This window comes from Homo sapiens, chromosome 3 (genome assembly GCF_000001405.40).
Source record: "Homo sapiens chromosome 3, GRCh38.p14 Primary Assembly".
Classification (NCBI taxonomy): Eukaryota; Metazoa; Chordata; class Mammalia; order Primates; family Hominidae; genus Homo; species Homo sapiens.
In genome coordinates this window covers 183873652-183894188 of record NC_000003.12, presented here as the reverse complement: position 1 = coordinate 183894188, position 20537 = coordinate 183873652, and the positions used below count along the sequence as shown (strand labels likewise).

Sequence of the window (20537 nt, the reverse complement as noted above, 5' to 3'; positions counted from 1 at the left end):
GCTCACGCCAGTAATCCTAGCATTTTGAGAGGCCAAGGCGGGCAGATCACCGGAGGTCAGGAGTTCAAGACCAGTCTGGCAAACATGGTGAAGCCCTGTCTACTAAAAATACAAAAAAGTTAACTGGGTATGGTGGCACGTGCCTGTAATCCCAGTTATTCTGAAGGCTGAGGCAGGAGGATCGCTTGAACCTGGGAGGCGGAGGTTGTAGTAAGCAGAGATTGCACCACTGCACTACAGCCTGGGAGACAGAATGAGACTCCATCTCAAAAAAAAAAAGGAAATGCCTTACCTCTCTCTTTTGTGTTATTTAAAGGACGTACATATGAATGAACCAATGTTTCTAATTAGTAGGAGATCAATCATTACTGCTACACCAGGCTGAAAGGAGTCTAACCAGAAATAAAACATGACGTATTGGCCAGGCTTAATGGCTTGCGCCTGTAATCCCAGCACTTTGGAAGGCTGAGGTGGGTGGATCACTTGAGGCCAGGAGTTCAAGATCAGCCTGGGCAACATGGTTAAACCCCCATCTCTACTAAAAATACAAAAATTAGCCGGGCGTGGTGGTGCACACCATAGTCTCAGCTACTTGGGTGACTGAGGCAGGAGAATCGCTTGAACCCAGGAGGCGAAGATTGCAGTGAGCAGAGATCGCGCCACTGCACTTCAGCCTGGCTGACAGAGTAAGACCCTGTCTCATAACAAAACCTAACAAAAAACAAAAACCATGATGTGTGAATTAGCCTCTGGCCTTTCTTCAGGCTTTGTGAAATCCTGGAGCTTTCTCATAGATATCTTATTTTCTGTGCGGTGCCATATCCAGGGCCTCGGGAGTCCAGACTGGGAAGCACTAGGCAAGTGGGGTCCCAGAGAGCAGGAGACAGCCTGGGGTTCTCGGCCCTGGGAGGTCCCACCCTGAGCTGGCAGCTCTCTGTGATCCAGGCAGGATCTGGGGCAGAGAAAACAAAGCCAGGCTCTAATTCACCTGCTTCCTACCTCACTTTCCTAACCCTTTCTCTGTTAGAGCCCCTGTCTGGAGCTTGCAGCCCCTTCTAACACTCATCCTCTCCACCATCCAGCCTCCTGTCTTTGATCCTGTCCAGCCCTCTGCGTGTTATTCCATTGAAAGGCCAACTCCTCCAGGAAGCTTTCCCTCACCTGGACTTTGGCCTTGGTTGAAATCCCAGTTTTGCTCTCAATAACCCAGTCCTTGTGTGCTTCGGTCTCCTCATATGACAAATGGAGGCTTCCTTTAGGATTGTCGGGAGTGACAATGCCCAGCACAGGGCCTGGCGGGTGATGAATGCTCTGTTTATGTTGGCAGGGCTCTCCTTCCCCTAGACAGCATCCAAAAGTACTCGCACCTTTGTTTTTAGCTCTAAAATGATGACGCTGCAGGGAGCCCTTCCCCTGTGGATAGGCTTCCCTTTCAGCTTCCATATCCTCATGACGATATGACAATAGCTGCCATGTGTTGATTGCCAACCGTGTGCTAGGAAGTGCACTGGGCACCTAACATAGACGAAGCCATTTAAATACCAAAGTGACAAGGTAGATACAATTATCTGAATTAATTAATTAATTTTTGAGATGGAGTCTCACTCTGTCACCCAGGCTGGAGTTCAGTGATCTTGGCTCACTGCAACCCCCACCTCCCGGGTTCAAGCAGTTCTCCTGCCTCAGCTTCCCGGATAGCTGGGATTATAGGCACGCGCCACCACGCCTGGTTAATTTTTGTATTTTTAGTAGAGACAGGGTTTCACCATGTTGACCAGGCTGGTTTCAAACTCCTGACCTCAGGTGATCTGCCCATCTTCGCCTCCCAAAGTGCTGGGATCACAGGTGTGAGCCACCGGGCCAGCCTGAATTTACAGGAATAAAAGTCAGAAGCTAGCCGGTGAATTAGTTAGAAAGTATCAGAATATCAATAAGCCTCAGTTCCCTCATCTGCAAAGTGGAGATAACAATGCTAACTCATTTGATTGATATTAACATTAAATATAATAATGCGGCCAGGCGCAGTGGCTCACGCCTGTAATCCCAGCACTTTGGGAGGCTGAGGCGGGTGGATTGCCTGAGGTTAGGAGTCCGAGACCAGCCTGGCTAACATGGTGAAGCCCTGTCTCTACTAAAAATACAAAAATTAGCTGGGTGTGGTGGCGCACGCCTGTAGTTCCAGCTACTTGAGAGGCTGAGGCAGGAGAATCGCTTGAACCCGGGAGGCGGAGGTTGCAGTGAGCTGAGATCATGCCACCACACTCTAGCCTGGGTGACAGAACAAGACTCCGTCTCAAAAAAAAAAAATATATATATATATACACACACACACACGTATATATACATATATATACACGTATATATATGTATATGTGTATATATAGTGTATATATGTATATGTGTATATATGTATATGTGTATATATGTATATATACGTGTATATGTGTATATATGTATATATATGTGTATATGTATATATACACGTATATATGTATATATATACGTGTATATATATGTATAATAATGCAGCCGGGTGTGGTGACTCATGCCTATAATCCCAGTACTTTGGGAGGCCAAGGCGGGCAGATCACTTGAGGTCAGGAGTTCGAGACCAGCCTGGCCAAATATGGTGAAACCTTGTCTCTACTAAAAATACAAAAATTAGCCGGACTTAGTGGCGGGCACCTGTAATCCCAGCTACTCGGGAGGCTGAGGCACAAGAATTGCTTGAATCGAGGAGGCGGAGGTTGCAGTGAGCAGAGATGGCACCACTGCACTCTAGCCTGGGCAATATAGCGAGACTATCTCAAAAAAAATAAATAAATAAAAATAAATTTAAAAATATAATAATGCATGAAGAATACCTAGCACAGTCCCTGGTACATGCTAAGTGCCTAATAAATTGCAACTACTAATAATAATCAATAAATATTCCTTCGCCTGGTTCATGGTCAGCACACCTTACCCAGTCCTTCCCTTTGTCAGCTGACTGAGCCCTGGCTGTCCCCTGAGGATGCTCCTGCAGCCTCTGAATGGAGGGTGCTTGTTTCCTGTGCCAGTTCAGGTTCTGATCAGAAAGGGCACGCTCACTCACTCAAATGGAGCAATGAGGAGAGTTTCAGAACAGAGAACACAGAAGCCAATGCATGTGGCTCAAGAAGGGAGGGACTGGGAAGAATAAGTGCTCTAAACTCATTTTTCCCTTATGCTCCGATCTCTTGTTTGTGGCTGTAATTGGCTGAGCCCAGCTAGGAGCCAGAGAGCAAGAGAGCCCATTGATGTAGTCCATAAAGGTCAGCCTCCTGGCCGGGCGCGGTGGCTCACACCTGTAATCCCAGCACTTTGGGAGGCCGAGGCGAGTGGATCACCTGAGGTCAGGAGTTGAAGACCAGCCTGACCAATATGGTGAAACCCTGCCTCTACTAAAAATACAAAAATTAGGCCAGGCACAGTGGCTCACGCCTATAATCCCAACACTTTGGGAGGCTGAGGCAGGCGGATCACAAAGTAAAGAGATCGAGACCATCCTGGCTAACATGGTGAAACCCCATCTCTACTAAAAATACAAAAATTAGCTAGGTGTGGTGGCGTGTGCCTGTAATCCCAGCTACTCAGGAGGCTGAGGCAGGAGAATCGCTTGAACCCAGGAGGCAGAGGTTGCAGTGAGCTGAGATCGTGCCACTGCACTCCAGCCTGGCGACAGAGTGAGACTCTGTCTAAAAAGAAAATAATAAAATACAAAAATTAGCCAGGCATGGTAGGGGGCACTCGTAATCCCAGCTACTCGGGAGGCTGAGGCAGGAGTATCACTTGAACCTGGGAGACGGAGGTTGCAGTGAGCAGAGATCGCACCACTGTGCTCCAGCCTGGGCGAGAGAGCGTCTCAAAAAAAAAAAAAAAGTCAGCCTCCGGTGGCCTGGAGCAGTGTATGAGAGTGAGCTGGAGGGGCAAGCGGAGGATATTCAGCACACCCCAGCCCCAGGCCCCTTAGGTTCCGGAGGTGAGCATCCTCCTCATGCCCTCATAATTCTTCCAGATTACTTGCCCAAAGACCACCTTGACCACATATGTCTCCTCTGCTGAAACTGTCTCCTTTATCTCTAGCACCTCTTCAGCACTATTAATAGCCTTCTAGTCACCCTCTTCTTCACTGAAATGTTAGGATTTCATTCCAAGTCCTGCCATCACCCTGAAGACCTCAAGTTCGTGTGAGCAATGCAGTCAACGTCCAGGACCTCTCTGTTTCTGAGCTCCCTCATGTTTAGTGACTTTCAGTTCGTTCCTCTTCAGCCATCAGCCCTATGGCCACACCCAAGTTCTTTTCAGTCCCTAAGAGAAGCTCTCACCCTCTGAAATGGTAAATTCACAGATCCCTATAGAGAATCGTGAAGGGTCTAATATTTCACCCTACTTGAAAACTAACAAGTTAGCCTGGTATAGTTTTATGGGTGCTGGCAGAAAATACAAGACTCCTGGGTCAGAAATGAAGGACAATTTATTACCCACAGCAATAGCATTAGCCAGACTATTAGAATTTTTGTGCTGGTTCCTTGAGTCCCAATTCTCATGGAGCAATGTGAAGAGGGCTGGACTGTACCTGCAGACTCAGTGGGTTGCATTAAGGAGAGGAATTCTGAACTGAGGAAGTAGAATCTTTTATTTATTTATTTTGAGACAGAGTCTTGCTTTGTTGCCCAGGCTGGAGTGCAACGGCATGATCTCAGCTCACTGCAGCCTCTGCCTCCATGGTTCCAGTGATTCTCCTGCCTCAACCTCCTGGGTAGCTGGGATTACAGGCGTGTACCATCACACCTGGCTAATTTTTGTATTTTTAGTAGAGACGGGGTTTCACCATGTTGGCCAGGCTGGTCTCGAACTCCTGACCTCAGGTGATCCACCCACCTAGGACTCCCAAAGTGCTAGAGCCACCGTGCCTGGCTGAATCAGAATCTTTTATTTATTTAATGATTATTATTTTTTTTGAGACAAAGTCTCGCTTTGTCCCCCAGGCTGGAGTGCAGTGGCACAGTCTTGGCTCACTGCAACTTCTGCCTCCTGGGTTCACCTGATTCTCTTGCCTCAGCCTCCTGAGTAGCTGGAACTACAGACGTGTGCCACCAAGCCTGGCTAATTTTTCTAATTTTAGTAGAGATGGGGTTTTACCATGTTGGCCAGGCTGGCGTTGAACTCCTTGCCTCAAGTGATCCACCCACCTCGGCCTCCCAAAATACTGGGATTACAGGCATGAGCCCCTATGCCCCGTCATGGCATTAGAATCTTTTATGATAGGCAGCACACAAGCCTGTGCTCTCTAGGGTGATATTATCTTTCTTCCAAGGTTATAAGCCAACTGCCCTTTGCTCTTGAGGAAAACATCTCTACCTTTCAAGATTGTTCGCTTGTTTACTATAAAAACTCACTATTAAACAGTAGATTCCCCAGGCTCAGTATTCTTTGGTTGAGATGCAAATCCACTGCATGTTCTTCATCCATTTGGCTCATGGCATTGCCACCATGGGACTTGGAGAACATGCCGTGGTAATATAAAGTGTTTTGTCTCTGACCCAGGAGTCTCCTGTCTTTTGCCAACATCCAATCTTTTAGCTTGCAAATAGGGTAAAATCAAATCCCAGACTTGACACCTCTGATATAACCAAAGTGAATTTATTTTTTAGAAACTGATGTGTATTTTCCATCAACGTTATTTCCATGTTGCTTAAGAGCCTGTGCAAGAACAGCTTAAGACCATTCAGTGGTTGTTTCTACCCATTCAGTGGCCTGAGCAGTGGGAGCTGCAGACCAGTCTTCTGTGGCAGGCTGAGCACTCCAGTCTTCAGTAGGGACCTGATGAATAGGCACAGAGGGCACCTGTACACCATCAGACCAGTCTCCAACCTCAGGCTGAATAGCGGTGAACTCAGGAGCTGGAGCAGTCCATTTGCCCTGAAATTCCTCCTTGGTCACAGTCTTTTCAGCAGCAACCTGCTCCTCTTTTCCAATCTCTTCAGGATCTCTGTAGAAGTAGAGATCAGGCATGACCTCCCATGGGTGTTCGAGGGAAATGGTGCCACACACGCGCAGAACTTCCAGGGCCAGCATCCACCAGCTCGGACCCACTGAGGGAGCTCCCTTGTTGTTGCATGTGATGGCAATGTCCACATAGCGCAGAGGAAAATCTGTGTGACATAGAGCAATGGTAGGTAGGTTAACATAAGATGTCTCTGTGAGAGGCTGGTGGTCAGCCCTGGGATCAGTAACCACTAGAAGCCGTGGCTCCCTGAAGGCTGCCTGGGTCTGGCTAGTGAAGGTTCCAGGAGTGAAGCGGCCAACAATTTGAGTGGCTCCAGTGGCAGCAGCAAACTTCAGCACAGCCCTCTGGCCAGTATTGCTAGAGGACATGACACTGACATCAACAGGGTTTTTAAAGGCAGCGATGGCACGAGCTGCCAGCAGAAACTTCTTGCTTCTCCCAGGTCCTCTTCAGATGTAGGATGTAGACGCCATCACTTTTCTTCTTACAGATGTGCTACTCCATTTGGAAGTCAAGGTTGGTACCACCTAAGTGGGTTCCTGCTGCAAGGAACTTAAGGACATCCTCCTCCTTCATTTGCAGGACATCAAGGGCTCTAGACATTGTGAAAGTTTCCCTTTAAGTTACAATGAGAATTGTAGGGACCAGCCCCACAGGGTCGGTGGGTCTCTCCCCACATGCAGAGACGAGAGAGCGTAGAAATAAAGACACAAGACAAAGAGATAAAAGAAAAGACAGCTGTGCCCGGGGGACCACTACCACCAAGACACGGAGACCGGTAGTGGCCCCAAATGCCAGGCTGCACTGATATTTATTGGATACAAGACAAAGGGGCAGGATAAGGAGAGTGAGCCATCTCCAATGATAGGTAAGGCCACGTGGGTCACGTGTCCACTGGACGGGGGCCCTTCCCTGCCTGGCAGCCGAGGCAGAGAGAGAGAGGAGACAAAGAGAGAAACAACTTACACCATTATGAGAGACTTTTAGTACTTTCACTAATTTGCTACTGCTATCTAGAAGGCAGAGCCAGGTGTACAGGATGGAACACGAAGGCAGACTAGGAGCGTGACCACTGAAGCACAGCATCACAGGGAGACGGTTAGGCCTCCGGATAACTGCGGGAAAGCCTGACTAATGTCAGGCCCTCCACAAGAGGTGGAGGAGTAGAGTCTTCTCTAAACTCCCCCAGGGACTACTAAGTAGCAGGTGTTTTTCCTTGACATGCTACCGCTAGACCACAGTCTGCTTGGCAACGGGCATCTTCCCAGACGCTGGCATTACCCCTAGACCAAGGAGCCCTCTGGTGGCCCTGTCTGGGCATAATAGAAGGCTCGCACTCTTGTCTTTTGGTCACTCCTCACTATGTCCCCTCAGCTCCTGCCTCTGTATGGCCCGGTTTTTCCTAGGTTATGATTATAGAGCGAGGATTATTATAATATTGGAATAAAGAATAATTGCTACAAACTGATGATTAATGATATTCATATATAATCACGTCTATGATCTAGATCTAGTATAACTCTTGTTGTTTTATATATTTTATTATACTGGAACAGCTCGTGCCCTTGGTCTCTTGCCTCGGCACCTGGATGGCTTGCCGCCCACAGAGAATCTAGAACAATGCCGTATGGGCCCCTCTCTGGGTTGTGTGGAAAAGGCGTGAATTTATTTTAGTTTTTCAAACAAGTCGTGCGCTGGGAGACATCACAAATGCTATTCTTTCTGAGGAACACTTCAATCCTCTTCTCTTGGTGACCTCTATCAGTTTCTCTGGGAAGCCTTCTCCCTGAGCCTCCCATGCCCCTTCCTTCAATTGGGCTATATCCCCCCTCTCTAGACTCCTACAGAGCCTTCTCCCCCAATACAATAGAATCTTTGTGAGGTCAGATATAGTGTCTTCTCAATTGTATCCCCAGGTTTAACATATCACCTGACACACTGTAGGTGCTTAATAAGAGCTTATGGAATGAATGAAGTGCTATTGCAGAGATAAGCATAAAGCGGTATGTGAGTACAAAGGAAGGGAATCTAAATTGGAGTGGAGGTCTGGGAAAGGCCTCCTGGAAGAGGTGACACTTGAGGCTGACCTGAAGGACAAGTCGGTTAGATGTTTCAAGTGGTGAGAACGGTAGCATGAATGCTCAGCAGTGGGAACGCGGATGGTGCCTTTGAGTAATGGCCAATGACTGTATGGCTGCAGCTAGGGTCGGGGGGAATGGAATGGCAGGGAATCAAGCTAACTGACAGGTAGTTGAGGGATGGATTATGAAAAAGTGAAAGCCCGCTTTTCATTTCAGGCTTGGATTTTGTGTTTATTTACTTATTTATTTATGAGAAAGGGTCTCACTCTGTTGCCCAGGCTGGCACGATATCGGCTCACTGCAACCTCCCGAGTTCAAGTGATTCTCCCACCTCAGCCTCTCGAGTAGCTGGGATTACAGGTTTGCGCCACCACGCCCAGCTAATTTTTGTATTTGTATTTGTAATTTTTTTGAGACGGATCTCGCTCTGTCACCTAGGCTGGAGTGCAGTGGTCCAATCTCGGCTCACTGCAACCTCCGCCTCCCAGGTTCAAGCAATACTCCTGCCTCAGCCAACTGAGTAGCTGGGATTACAGGCCCCTGCCACCATGCCCGGCTAATTTTTGTATTTTTAGTAGAGACGGGGTTTCACCATGTTGGCCGGGCTGGTATCGAACTCCTGACCTCAGGTGATCCGCCGGCCTCGGCCTCCCAAAGTGCTGGGATTAAAGGGGTGAGCCACCCCGCCCGATAGGCTTGGACTTTGTTAAAGGCATACAGAATAACACGAAGTGGTGAGATGCAGAAAAAAGTAGTAATTTAAGAAAACTTGGCTTGCCACGTTGGTTCCTCTAGGGACCAGCCCTGCAACTCCGGGCAAGTCCTATCCCCTCTGACCAGAGGCAAAGTGAAACAGTGATGACATCTACCTCTAGCAGTGCTGTGACGATTAAATGCGATCTTAGGCAAAGCGCCTGGTATGTGCCGTTACTCGAAAAAATGACAGTTGTCCCTCTTCGCTCTGGCCCCATCCTCCTCATCTGCAAATGCCGGGAGGCCGGGCCACTCTCGCAGGTCGCTCCCGGAGCCAGCTGAGCAGTGGGAGGGGAAGCGGTGGGACAGAAGGGCGCCAGCCAGTCGTCCGGGCACCGTGGCTGGTTCGGCTGCCGCTCAGCCGCGCGGGGGCGCTCTAGACTGCTCCTCGTGCTCTATGGTGTTGCCTTCGCCCCGGAAGTAGTTGCGCAGCTGGGGTTGGTAAGGTCGGGCCATGGTGGGGCAGAGGTTGGGAAGATGGCGTGGCGAGGCTGGGCGCAGAGAGGCTGGGGCTGCGGCCAGGCGTGGGGTGCGTCGGTGGGCGGCCGCAGCTGCGAGGAGCTCACTGCGGTCCTAACCCCGCCGCAGCTCCTCGGACGCAGGTAATAGCCGCCGCGCTCTGGTCTTCTCGCCTCTTGGTCCCTGAGCTCTGGCCGTGTATCCTCGGGGGCGGAGGCCGTCTGGGCCTCTTGTGCTGGCCCCAGCTCACCCCCTTCACCTTACCTGCCCCTTCTCTCTCCTCTCTCGCCTCCGTCCAGTCCTCGCTTCTCGCTCCCCTTGCCCAGCCCAGCCCCCCGCGAGCCTGCGCTTTCTCCTTTCCCATTGGGAAGGACGTGACTGGAAGGGGAACTAAGCTGAGGGTTCATTGCGTGCCACACTTCATAATCGCGAGTGGAAACTGTTGAGCCAGTTTCTGAAGTGAAGAAGTTAGTACAGCTGGCAGAATGGCGGTTTTTATTCTTTTTCCATCTAATTATAAAGGTTGTGTTCCATTACAACCAGTCGCCTTCTTTAGCTTGTGATCTAAGGGAGGACGAAGTCTGATGGAAGGTATCACTTTGTGTCTGGCAAAGTCGTAGGAGAGGCTTTATTGTTGAATTGAGACAGTGGAAGATTTCGTTTCCGGTTGATTTGGAAAGAAAACTGCCGAACCTTCCGAGTAGAAGTGTGAAGCGTATGGTTGATCAGTATTGCTGATTTTTGCATCACAGTAATTCATTTCTAATTTGAGAGAGAAGAGAGAAATTCCTCACCTGTTTAAGAATCTGATGTGCATTTGGCTTTGAAAATTTTCCTCCTCTTTTGTTCAAAACTTCATTCCTTCCAATTTCTGACTTGGTTAGATGGGTGCCTCGAATCCACCTGATTGCTGATAAGAAACATTGTTTATCAACACGTGGGATAGTCAGTGGTAAATAATCGAGGCTCTAATGTGGCGGAGCCATTGCCTAATCTCAAGGATCACCTGAAGAGTTTGTATGGATTTTATGTCCCAGGCCTCACCCCAGTCCTCCCAAATCACAATCAGGAGAGGGGTGGGTGGAGTGGAAGAACCTATATGTCCGACAAGCATTCCAGGTGAATTTTATCAGGGACTTGTGAAAACTTTACATACATTGTATCTTCATACACTAACATAGATCTGTCAGGCACTAATCTTAAACTCCTGGGGAGGTGGAAAATGAGGACAGATGGAGGTGGTAATCCCATTTGAGATTGCATGGTTTAAGGGGGAAAGAAAAGATTAATACTGGCCGGGCGTGGTGGCTCACACGCCTGTAATCCTAGCACTTTGGGAGGCTGAGGCAGGTGGATCACCTGAAGTTAGGAGTTCAAGACCAGCCTGGCCAACATTGCAAAACCCCGTCTCTACTAAAAATACAAGAAATTAGCGGGGCATGGTGGCGGGCGCCTGTAATCCCAGCTACTCGGGAGCCTGAGGCAGGAGAATGGCTTGAACCTGGGAGGCGGAGGTTGCAGTGAGCCGAGATCGTGCCATTGCACTTCATCTTGAGCAACAGAGTGAGACTCCATGTAAAATAAATAAATACTGTACGTGTATTAGGAAGCAACAGGAAGTGTGTTAAACATTTAAGATTTATGTACACATCACCGTATTGGTTTTAGGAAGGGGAAGCAAAAGAAAACTAATGAGCCTCTAGTAAAAATTGAGTATAAAGACCATTTGAAACAGTGAACCAGAAACACATGAAATGTTGAAGATTAGTATTTAATGTCTGAAAAGCTTGCCATTTGTATAGAAAGTTTGAAAATGACATTTTCGTGGTTGCATAAAAAATATACATGAGAATGTAGGCCTGAAATAGAGCATTTGCCTCTGGTAATAAGTTCTTAAAGTTAATAGTATCAGTTTACCTTATATATAACCTTTATTAGCTATATGTTGACTTCTTATGGCTTTGAAATTAGCGTGCAGAAGAATGACCCAATCCGTGTCATTTGATGTATTAATAATAGGCCTGAAGTGGGACCAGGAATTTGCATTTTACAAGCACTCTAGGTGGTGATACTAGGGTCTGAAAACTACTGCAGGCCCAAGGCGGCCCACCAGCCAAGAATGGTTTACATTTTTAAAGGATTGTAAAACAAAAATAGTAATATGTGACAGATTTCAGTAGTCCACAAAGACCGAAATATCTTCTATCTGGCCTTTTACACAAAAGGGGAAAAAAATCTTATTTGGGCTCCTTGTAAACTTTACTGTTACCAAGGTTTGAGGCTTGAAAGTGGAAACCTGTTTAATTTGCCAGTTATATGAAACTATCCAAGGGAAGAAAATAGTTGAATTGTAACACTTAACATTTTATATTTTTAAAAAACTTGCCGTTTGTATGGAAAGTTTATATTGAGATGATAGTCTCTCTCTTTCTCTCTCTCTCTCTCTCTATATATATGTGTGTGTATATGTGCATATATATGTATATATGTGTGTGTATATATGTGCATATATGTATATATGTGTGTGTATATATGTGTATATATGTGTGTATATATGTGTGTGTATATATATGTGTGTGTGTATATATATATATAAATATATATATATATATATATATAAATATATATATATATATATATATTTTTTTTTTTTTTTTTTTAGAGACATTGTCTTGCTCTGTTTCCCAGGCTGGAGTGCAGTGGCACGATCTCAGCTCACTGCAACTTCCGCCTCCCGGGTTCAAGCGATTCTCCTGCCTCAGCCTCCCGAGTAGCTGGGATTACAGGCATGCACCACCATGATGCCTAGCTAAGTTTTGTGTTTTTTGTAGAGACGGGGTTTTGCTGTGTTGGCCAGGCTGGTCTCGAACTCCTGGTCTCAAGTGATCTGCCTGCCTCTGCCTCCCAGTGTTGGGATTACAGGCTTGAGTCACCATGCCTAGCCTCAAAATATCTTTAAGTAAGATACTTGACATATTAGTCAATCGTATATATTATATTTTGTTTTAACTGACCATCTATTAACTCACGATGGGGTCAAGAAAATAATTTTGTTATGCCAGAGTTTATGTAGAATCCATCCTCCCGCCCAGTATCTTTTGTATTTTTTAGAGGCGAGTTGTTCTGTCACCTAGGTTGAAGTGCAGTGGCACTATCATAGCTCACTGCAGCCTCAAACTCCTGGGTTCAAGGGATCCCCCTGCGTCAGCCTGCCTGGTAGCAAGGACTACAGGTACACACTACCATGCCTCGGGCTCTATTTTGTTTTAAGTGGAATGAATCTAATCAATTGTGTGTGCTTAGACACATTTTGTCTCCATTTGAACATTAGGCCATTTCTACTTAATTTGTTCATACAAATCTTGAGTAACATAAACATTAACACTGACCTGTATATTTAAGTTGTATTGTCTTTACCGTTGCACTCTTAAAAACAATGCACAGGCTGGGCATAGTGGCTCACGCCTGTAATCCCAGCACTTTGGGAGGCCGAGGCGGGTGGATCACCTGAGGTCAGGAGTTCTAGACCAGCCTGGCCAACATGGTGAAAACCCGTCTCTACTAAAAATACAAAAATTAGCCAGGCACGGTGGCAGGGGCCTGTAATCCCAGCTACTCGGGGGGCCGAGGCAGGAGAATCCCTTGAACCCAGGAGGCAGAGGTTGCAGTGAGCCGAGATTGCATCACTGTACTCCAGCCTGGGGGACAAGAGCAAGACTTCATCTGAAAAAAAAAAAAAAAAATGCACAAAGGCTGTGCGGTGGCACAGGCCTGCAGTCCCAGCACTTTGGGAGGCTGAGGCAGGAAGATCACTTGAGTCTAGGAGTTTGAGACCAGCCTGGGCAATATAGGGAGACTCCTGTCTCTACAAAAAGTAAAAAAAATTAGTGGGTATGGTGGTGCTGCCTCTGGTCCCAGCCACGTGGGAGGCTAAGGGAGGAGGATTGCTTGAGGCCGGAAGGTGAAGGTTGCTGTGAGCTATGAGGGCGCCACTGTCCTCCAGCCTGAGTGAGAGAGTGCAACCCTGTCTCAAAAAAAGACCCAAAAAATAAAAAACCAAAACATTTATGAGACTGTATTGTAACTATTAGGTGAACACATATATTGGTGTAACTTTTTCTTCTTAAAAGTTATAGGATTGTATTAAAAAAAAAGTCTGAGCTGGCCAGGCACAGTGGCTCATGCCTGTAATCCCAGCACTTTGGGAGGCTGAGGTGGGTGGATCACCTGAGGTCAGGAGTTCGAGACCACCCTGGCCAACGTGGTGAAACCCCCTCTCTACTAAAAACACAAAAATTAGCCAGGTGTGGTGGCAGGCGCCTGTAATCTCAGCTACTTGGGAGGCTGAGGAAGGAGAATCGCCTGAACCCGGGAAGCGGAGGTTGCAGTGAGCCGAGATCACGGCATTACACTCCAACCTGGGCAGCAGGAGCAAAACTGTGTCTTAAAAACGGAAAAAAAAAAACTGAACTATAACTGTGGCTGGTGGCAACTTAAGTATTCATGACATCCTCCCACTTTGAGCACATTTGATTGCTTCCCCAAATCACTAGTTCCTGGCAGAAGGACCAAAGCAGCAGAGTCAAGGCAGGCCTGCTGTCGTGAGTTGTCATATGCCTCAAGGGACCCTCTTTCCCATCCCCATCCATTTTATTGCGGCGCTTCACTTTGTTTTCCAACTTATTCAGGTAAGTAATTTATTTCCCTGTCTTATATACCCATCTGATTGGGAAGAGGTGAATAACCTAAACCTGTGAATAAGATAGCAAACATTTGCAATTAGGGACATTTATCATGCTTTTGCTTGTTTCACACTTTAAGAAATTTAAGGCTGGGTGCAGTGGCTCACTCCTGTAATCCTTTGGGAGCACTTTGGGAGGCCGAGGCAGGCAGATCACCTGAGGTCAGGAGTTCGAGACCAGCCTGGCCAATATGGCGAAACCCTGTCTCTACTAAAAATACAAAAAAAAAAAAAAAAAAAAAAATCAGTCCTGGTGGCAGGCATCTGTAATCCCAGCTACTTGGGAGGCTGAGGCAGGGGAATCACTTGAACTCTAGAGGCGAAGGTTGCAGTGAGTTGAGATGGTGCCACTGCACTCCAGCCTGGGTGACAGAGCGAGGACCTCCCCCCGCCCACCAAAAAAAGGAAATTTAAAATGAAAGCTCATTAAAAAGAGAAAATGTACCTTATATAATATGTAATAAACATACTACATCTAAAAGCATCCTTATTCCAATAGAAAACCAAACTCTTAACTGACCTAAACAATTAGGGGAATTTATTGGTTTATGAAGTTCAAAAGTGTAGAGGTAGGACTGGCTTCTAGCGAGACAAGTCCAGTGTCTCAAATTGTCACCAGACACCATTTTCTCCATGGCTTGTCTCTGTTTCCTAAATGTTGGCTTTATTCTCTCAGCATGCTATCTCCTTGTGGTTATAAGATGGCTGCCAGCAGCTCTTGGGGCTATATATTTTTAGGTGCAAATCTAGCAGAAAAAAAAGTTGTCTTCTCCGTTATCACAAACAAAATCTTGAAATTGAATTTCACTGGACCAGATTGGCCTAACTTGGGACAGGTGCCCATCCTTGAATCCCTTGAAGTTGCCAAGGAATGGGATGTGAAATTTGGCTTAAGCCAATCGTGGGCTTGGTGTGTCTCATCAAATGAAATGGCTGGAAATTCTAGAGTATGGTTTGGAAAAGGAGAAGAGGGCATGGATGCTGGGAGTAAGTCGTAGTGAAACATTTGTATTGGAATTCTTTATTTGGTTACCTAGATAGGATTAATCTGTGGGACAACAAACCATTCTAATTTAAGTACAAGTATTGTTGGAAGAGTGAGGAATCAGGTTCTAGCTCCTTGCTATTCCAAGTGGTTCATGAACTAGCAGTTTGGGTATCATCTAGGACAGGGGTTTGGCAAACTTAGTTTGTAAAAGGTCAGATAGAAAATATGGCCGCATGTGGTCTTTGTCGCATATTCTTTCTCTTTCTTTTTAAACAACTCTTTAAACGTGTGAAAACCATTCTTAGTTGGAGACTCAAATCCACTCTATAGGCCGCAGTTTGACAACCCCTAATTTAGGCGCTTGTTTAGATATGCAAAATCTCAGACTCACCTTGCCCCAGACCTACTAAATTACAATGTTTTTAATGAGATTTCCAGGTGATTTGTATGTAAACTAAAGTTTCCCCAAACCTGTGGTATGAATAGATCTTGACTCTGGCGGCACATGAGAATCACCTGGGGAGGTCTTACAACTACTAAGGCCTTGGGTCCACTCCTAGACATTCTCATTTGTTATGAGGTAGAGCCATGGTGTAGGACTTTTAAGAGCTCACCAGGCAGTTCTAATGTATAGCCAGAATTGAGAATTACTGCTCTAGACTAGGAAGCATAACTGCCTCTGCCACATCTAGTGTGGTAGATAAAACACCATGGCCACAATATTTTGTAGTTCTTATCCAAAGCTGGAGTCAACTTCCCTATTCCTTGCAGCTGGGTTGGACTTGCGGCTTAGTTTGATCGGTAGCATGTGGTGGAAGTAATATTGTGCAAGGTCCAGAGTCGGCCTCAGAAGACCTTGCAGCTTTTGCCTTTGCCCACTTGGAACACTCCCTCTGTCATGGTAGAAGCCCCCGCTAGACTACTGAACACCAAGGACTGGGCGGTGAAAGAGCAAGCAGACAACAACCAGCACTAAGGCTCCAGGTACGAGTGAAGCCATCTGAGACTCTCCAGCTCTGATTAAGCAGTCAAGAGTACTGGCTGGGGCTGGGCGCGGTGGCTCACGCCTGTAATCCCAGCACTTTGGGAGACCAAGGCGGGTGGATCACTTGAGCTCAGGAGTTCGAGACCGGCCTGACCAATATGATGAAACCCCATCTCTACTAAAAATACAAAAATTAGCCAGGTGTGCTGGTGTGTGCCTGGAGTCCCAGCTACTCAGGAGGCTGAGACAGGAGAATTGCTTGTACCTGGGAGGTGGAGATTGCAGTGAGCCGAGATCATGCCACTGCGCTCCAGCCTGGGTGACACTGTCTCAAAAAAAAAAAAAAGTAATAAATTATGGTTTTAAGCCAGTGCATTTTAGAGTGGTTTGTTAAGATGTAGATACCTTAATTTTAAAATGCTTTATTACTAAAAAATTCTAATAATCATCTGAGCCTGCAGTGAGTCATAATCTTTTTGCTGGTGGAGGGTCTTGCCTCTGTTGATGGCTGTGGACTGATCAGAGTGGCGGTTACTGAAGGTTGGGGTAGCGGTGGCAATTTCTTAAAATAAGACAACATGAAGTTCGCCACGTTGATTGACTCCTCCTTTCACAAAAGATTTCTCAGTAGCATGTGATGCTGTCTGATAGCATTTTATCCACAGTAGAACTTCTTTCAGAGTAGGAGTAAATCCTCTCAAACCGTGCTGCTGCTTTATCAGCTAGGTTTATGTAATCTAAATCCTTTGTTGTCATTTCAACAGTGTCCACAGTGTCTTCACCAGGAGTAGATTCCATCTCAAGAAACCACTTCCTTTGCTCATCCATAAGAAACAACTTCTCATCTGTTCAAGTTTGATCATGAGATTGCAGCAATTCAATCACATCTTCAGGCTCCACTTCTAATTCTAGTTCTCTTGCTCTTTCTTTTTTTTCGAGATGGAGTTTCACTCCTGTCACCCAGACTGAAGTGCAATGGCACGATCTTGGCTCACTGCAACCTCTGCCTCCTTAGTTCAAGCGATTCTCCTGCCTCAGCCTCCTGAGTAGCTGGGATTACAGGCACCCACCACCATGCCCAGTTAATTTTTTTGAATTTTTAATAAAGATGAGGTTTCACCATGTTGGCCAGGCTGGTCTCGAACTCCTGACCTCAGGTGATCCGCCCGCCTCGGCCTCCCAGGGTACTGGGATTACAGGCATGAGCCACTGCACCCAGCCTCTAGTTCTCTTTCTATTTCTACCGCATCTGCAGTTACTTCCTCCACTCAAGTCTTGAGCCCCTCAAAGTCATACTTGAGTGTTGTAATCAACTTCTTCTAAACTGTTAATGTTGGTATTTTGACCTCCTCTCATGAATCATGAGTGTTCCCGATGACATCTAGAATGGTAGATCCTTTCCAGAAGCTTTTCAGTTTACCTTGCCCAGATCCATCAGAAAAATCACTCTGTGGCTATTGCCTTACAAAATATATTTCTTTTTCTTTCTTTCTTTCTTTCTTTTTCTTTTTCTTTTTTTTTTTTTTTTTTTTTTTTTTTTACAAAATGTATTTCTTAGGGGAATAAAAAAAGAAAATATATTTCTTAAATAATAAGACTTAAACGTTGAAATTCCTGCTTGATGTATGTGGTTGCAGAATGGACATTGTGTTAGCAGGCATGAAAACAATATTCATCTTCTTGTACCTGTGCATCTGAGCTCTTGGGTGACCAGATACATTGTCGATGAACAGTAGTATTTTGAAAGGAATCTTTTTTTCTCAGCATTTGGTCGCAACATTGGGCTTAAAATATTTGGTAAACCGTTTGGGCACAGTGGATTGCGCCTATAATACCAGCACTGTGGGAGGCCAACACGGGCGGATCGCCTGAGATCAGGAGTTCAAGACCACCCTGGCCAACACGGTGAAACCCCATCTCTACTAAAAACACAAAAATTAGCCGGACATGATGGCAGGCGCCTGTGATCCCAGCTGCTCGGAGGGTTGAGGCAGGAGAACTGCTTGAACCTGGGAGGCGGAGGTTGTAGTGAGCTGAGATAGTGCCACTGTACTTCCAGCCTGGGCGACAGAGTGAGACTCCATCTCAAAAAGTAAAAATAAACAAATAAAAAATATTCCATAAACGATGCTGTAAACAGGAGTGCTGTAATCTAGGCTTTGTTGTTCGATTTGTAGAGCACGGGCAGAGTAGTTTACCATCATTCTTAAGGGTTCTAGGATTCTCAGAATGGTAAATGAGCATTGGCTTCAACTTAGTCACCAACAGCATTAGTGCCTAATGAAGTCAGCCTGTCCTTTGAAGCTTTGAAGCCAGGCATTGCCTCCTCACCTGTAGCTATGAAAGTCTTAGATGGCATCTTCTTCCAATAGAAGGCTGTTTTGTCTGCTTTGCAAATCTGTTTAGTGTAGCCACCTTCATCTTAGGATCTTCTTGATAAGTTGCTGCAGTTTCTACATCCACACTTGCTGCTTCAAGTTGTACTTGTGTGTTATAGAGACAGCTTGTTTCCTTAAACCTCATGAACCAACCTCTGCTAGCTTCAGACTTTTTTCCTGCAGCTTCCTCAATTCTTTCAGCCTTCATAGAATTGAAGGAGTTAGTCTTGCTCTAGATTGGCTGTGGCTTAAGGGAATGTTGTGGCTGATTTGATCTTCTATTCATGTAATTTTTTCCATGTTGGCAATAAGGCTGTTTTGCTTTCTTACTCTATTTTTTTTTTTTTTTTTTTTTTTGGAGACAGAGTCTTGCTCTGTCGCCCAGGCTGGAGTGCAGTGGCACAATCTCAGCTCACTGCAGCCTCCATCTCCCAGGTTCAAGCGATTCTCCTGCCTCAACCTCCCCAGTGGCTGGGATTACAGTCGCCCGCCACCACGCCCAGGTAATTCTTGTATTTTTAGTAGAGATGGAGTTTCACATTGTTGGCCAGGCTGGTCTCGAACTCCTGACCTCAGTTGATCCTCTCGTCTTGGTCTCCCAAAGTTCTAGGATTACAGATGGGAGCCACCACACCCAGCCTACTATTTTTCTCTTCTCAGGAGTAGCACTTAAAATTTCCTTCAGTAGTTTTGCTGTTGTTGATACAGAGTCTAGTTCTGTCATCCAGGTTGGAGTGCAGCAATGCATTTGTAGCTCACTGCAACCTTGACCTCCTGGGCTCAAGTGATCTTCCTGCCTCAGCCTCCCAAGTAGCTAGTACTATAGGCGCAAGCCACCACACTTGGCTAATTTTTAAATTTTTTATAGAGACAGGATCTCACTATGGTGCCCAGGTTGGTTTCAAACTCCTGAACTCAAGTGATCTTCCTGCCTTAGCTTCCCAAAGTGCTGGGGTTACAGCTGTGAGCCACCATGTCTGGCAAGAATTGTTTCTTTGTATTTACAAGTTGGCTATTTGTGCCAGAGGCTTAGCTCCTGGCCTATCTCAGCTTTTGACATGCCTTCTTCACTAAGCTTAATTATTTCTAATTGGCTGGGCACTTTGGGAGGCCGAAGCGGGAGGATCACGTGAGGTTTGAGTTCGAGACCAGCCTGGCCAACATGGCGAAACCCCATCTCTGCTAAAAATACAAAAATCAGCTCGGTGTGGTGGCAGGTGCTTGTAGTCCCAGCTACTTGGGAGGCTGAGGCAGGAGAATCGCTTGCACCCGAGAGGTGGAGGTTGCAGTGAGTCGAGATCGCGCCACTGCACTGCAGCCTGGGTGATAGAGCAAAACTCCATCTCAAAAAAAAAAAAAAAGATTATTTCTAATGATTTCAAGCCAGAGACATGTGACTGTTCCTTTCAGCTTGAACACTTAGCGGTGATTGTAGGGTTATTAATTGACCAGTGTCAATATTGTTGTGTTCCAAGGAATAGGGGGGTCCAAAGAGAGGGAAAGGTGGGCAATGGCTGGTTGGTAGAGCAGTCAGAACCTACACAACATTATTAAGTTCATTGTCTCATGGTTCATGGCACCCAAAACAATTTCAGTAGTAACATCAAAGGTCACTGATCACAAATCACCATAACAGATAAGAAAAAATTGAAGTGTTGTGAGAATTACGGAAATGTGACACAGAGCCACCAAGTGAGCGCATGCTGTTGGAAAAATGGTGCCAAAAGACATGCTAGATGTATGGTTGCCACAAACCTTCAATTTGTGTAACAAACTTGGGATATCTGTGAAGTACAATAAATCGAGGTATGCCTGTGTGTGATGTATTCAGTATGTGTACCTACTGATAAGTTCTGAACTTAACCCTGGGGCCAGCTTGTGTAATGTACTCTTAATGTCCTCAGCTTGATGCACACTTCTGGTGAGATCCTCGAGGTATATATTTTAGGCAAAAAGGTCTGGCTTTGCCTCAAGTCCAGATTCCCAACCTAGCGTGTTTATGTTCCTTTTAAAACTTGTGCTTCAAAATTTTAAGTGAATTGGTGACAGGTAGAAGTAGTTTTTTATTAGAATTGATTGTGTAGTATTAAGCTGTTGGAAATACAAATCCTTTGTATTTCT

General features: G+C 46.0%; 1 protein-coding gene, 1 non-coding gene and 1 pseudogene across 12 annotated transcripts in view, besides 4 other annotated features; 1 reads left to right on the top strand and 2 right to left on the bottom strand.

Annotated features, from left to right (window-relative positions):
* On the bottom strand, positions 5652–6667 carry RPSAP31 (ribosomal protein SA pseudogene 31; annotated as a pseudogene).
* On the bottom strand, positions 7304–7389 carry MIR4448 (microRNA 4448). The gene has a single exon (NR_039650.1). It is a non-coding gene; the product is annotated as a microRNA 4448 (primary transcript).
* Positions 8860–9089: an enhancer, noted in NCBI's record as "active region_20898". NCBI's record gives its function as "activates an Ori minimal core promoter by ATAC-STARR-seq in GM12878 lymphoblastoid cells {active_cell/tissue: GM12878}" and the evidence as "EXISTENCE:reporter gene assay evidence [ECO:0000049][PMID:35858748]".
* Positions 9129–9279: a silencer, noted in NCBI's record as "fragment chr3:183602698-183602848 (GRCh37/hg19 assembly coordinates)". NCBI's record gives its function as "represses an EF-1alpha promoter that drives an FKBP-Casp9 reporter gene in an ReSE screen in HepG2 liver carcinoma cells {active_cell/tissue: HepG2}" and the evidence as "EXISTENCE:reporter gene assay evidence [ECO:0000049][PMID:32094911]".
* Positions 9130–9179: an enhancer, noted in NCBI's record as "active region_20897". NCBI's record gives its function as "activates an Ori minimal core promoter by ATAC-STARR-seq in GM12878 lymphoblastoid cells {active_cell/tissue: GM12878}" and the evidence as "EXISTENCE:reporter gene assay evidence [ECO:0000049][PMID:35858748]".
* Positions 9309–20537, top strand: part of PARL (presenilin associated rhomboid like) — a 58392-nt gene continuing 47163 nt past the window's right edge. For 10 of the 11 annotated variants that reach the window (NR_136893.2, XM_017006802.2, XM_017006801.2 and 7 more), the window contains exon 1: positions 9309–9467. Coding sequence is in view for 9 of the 11 variants with exons in the window: in XM_017006802.2 (XP_016862291.1) it covers positions 9343–9467 (125 nt within the window). In the remaining 2 variants the exon portion in view is untranslated. Of the gene's footprint in view, positions 9468–15901; positions 16038–20537 lie in introns of those variants that run through there. The other variant, XM_024453628.2, reaches the window with a different exon arrangement.
* Positions 9390–9549: a silencer, noted in NCBI's record as "silent region_14951". NCBI's record gives its function as "represses an Ori minimal core promoter by ATAC-STARR-seq in GM12878 lymphoblastoid cells {active_cell/tissue: GM12878}" and the evidence as "EXISTENCE:reporter gene assay evidence [ECO:0000049][PMID:35858748]".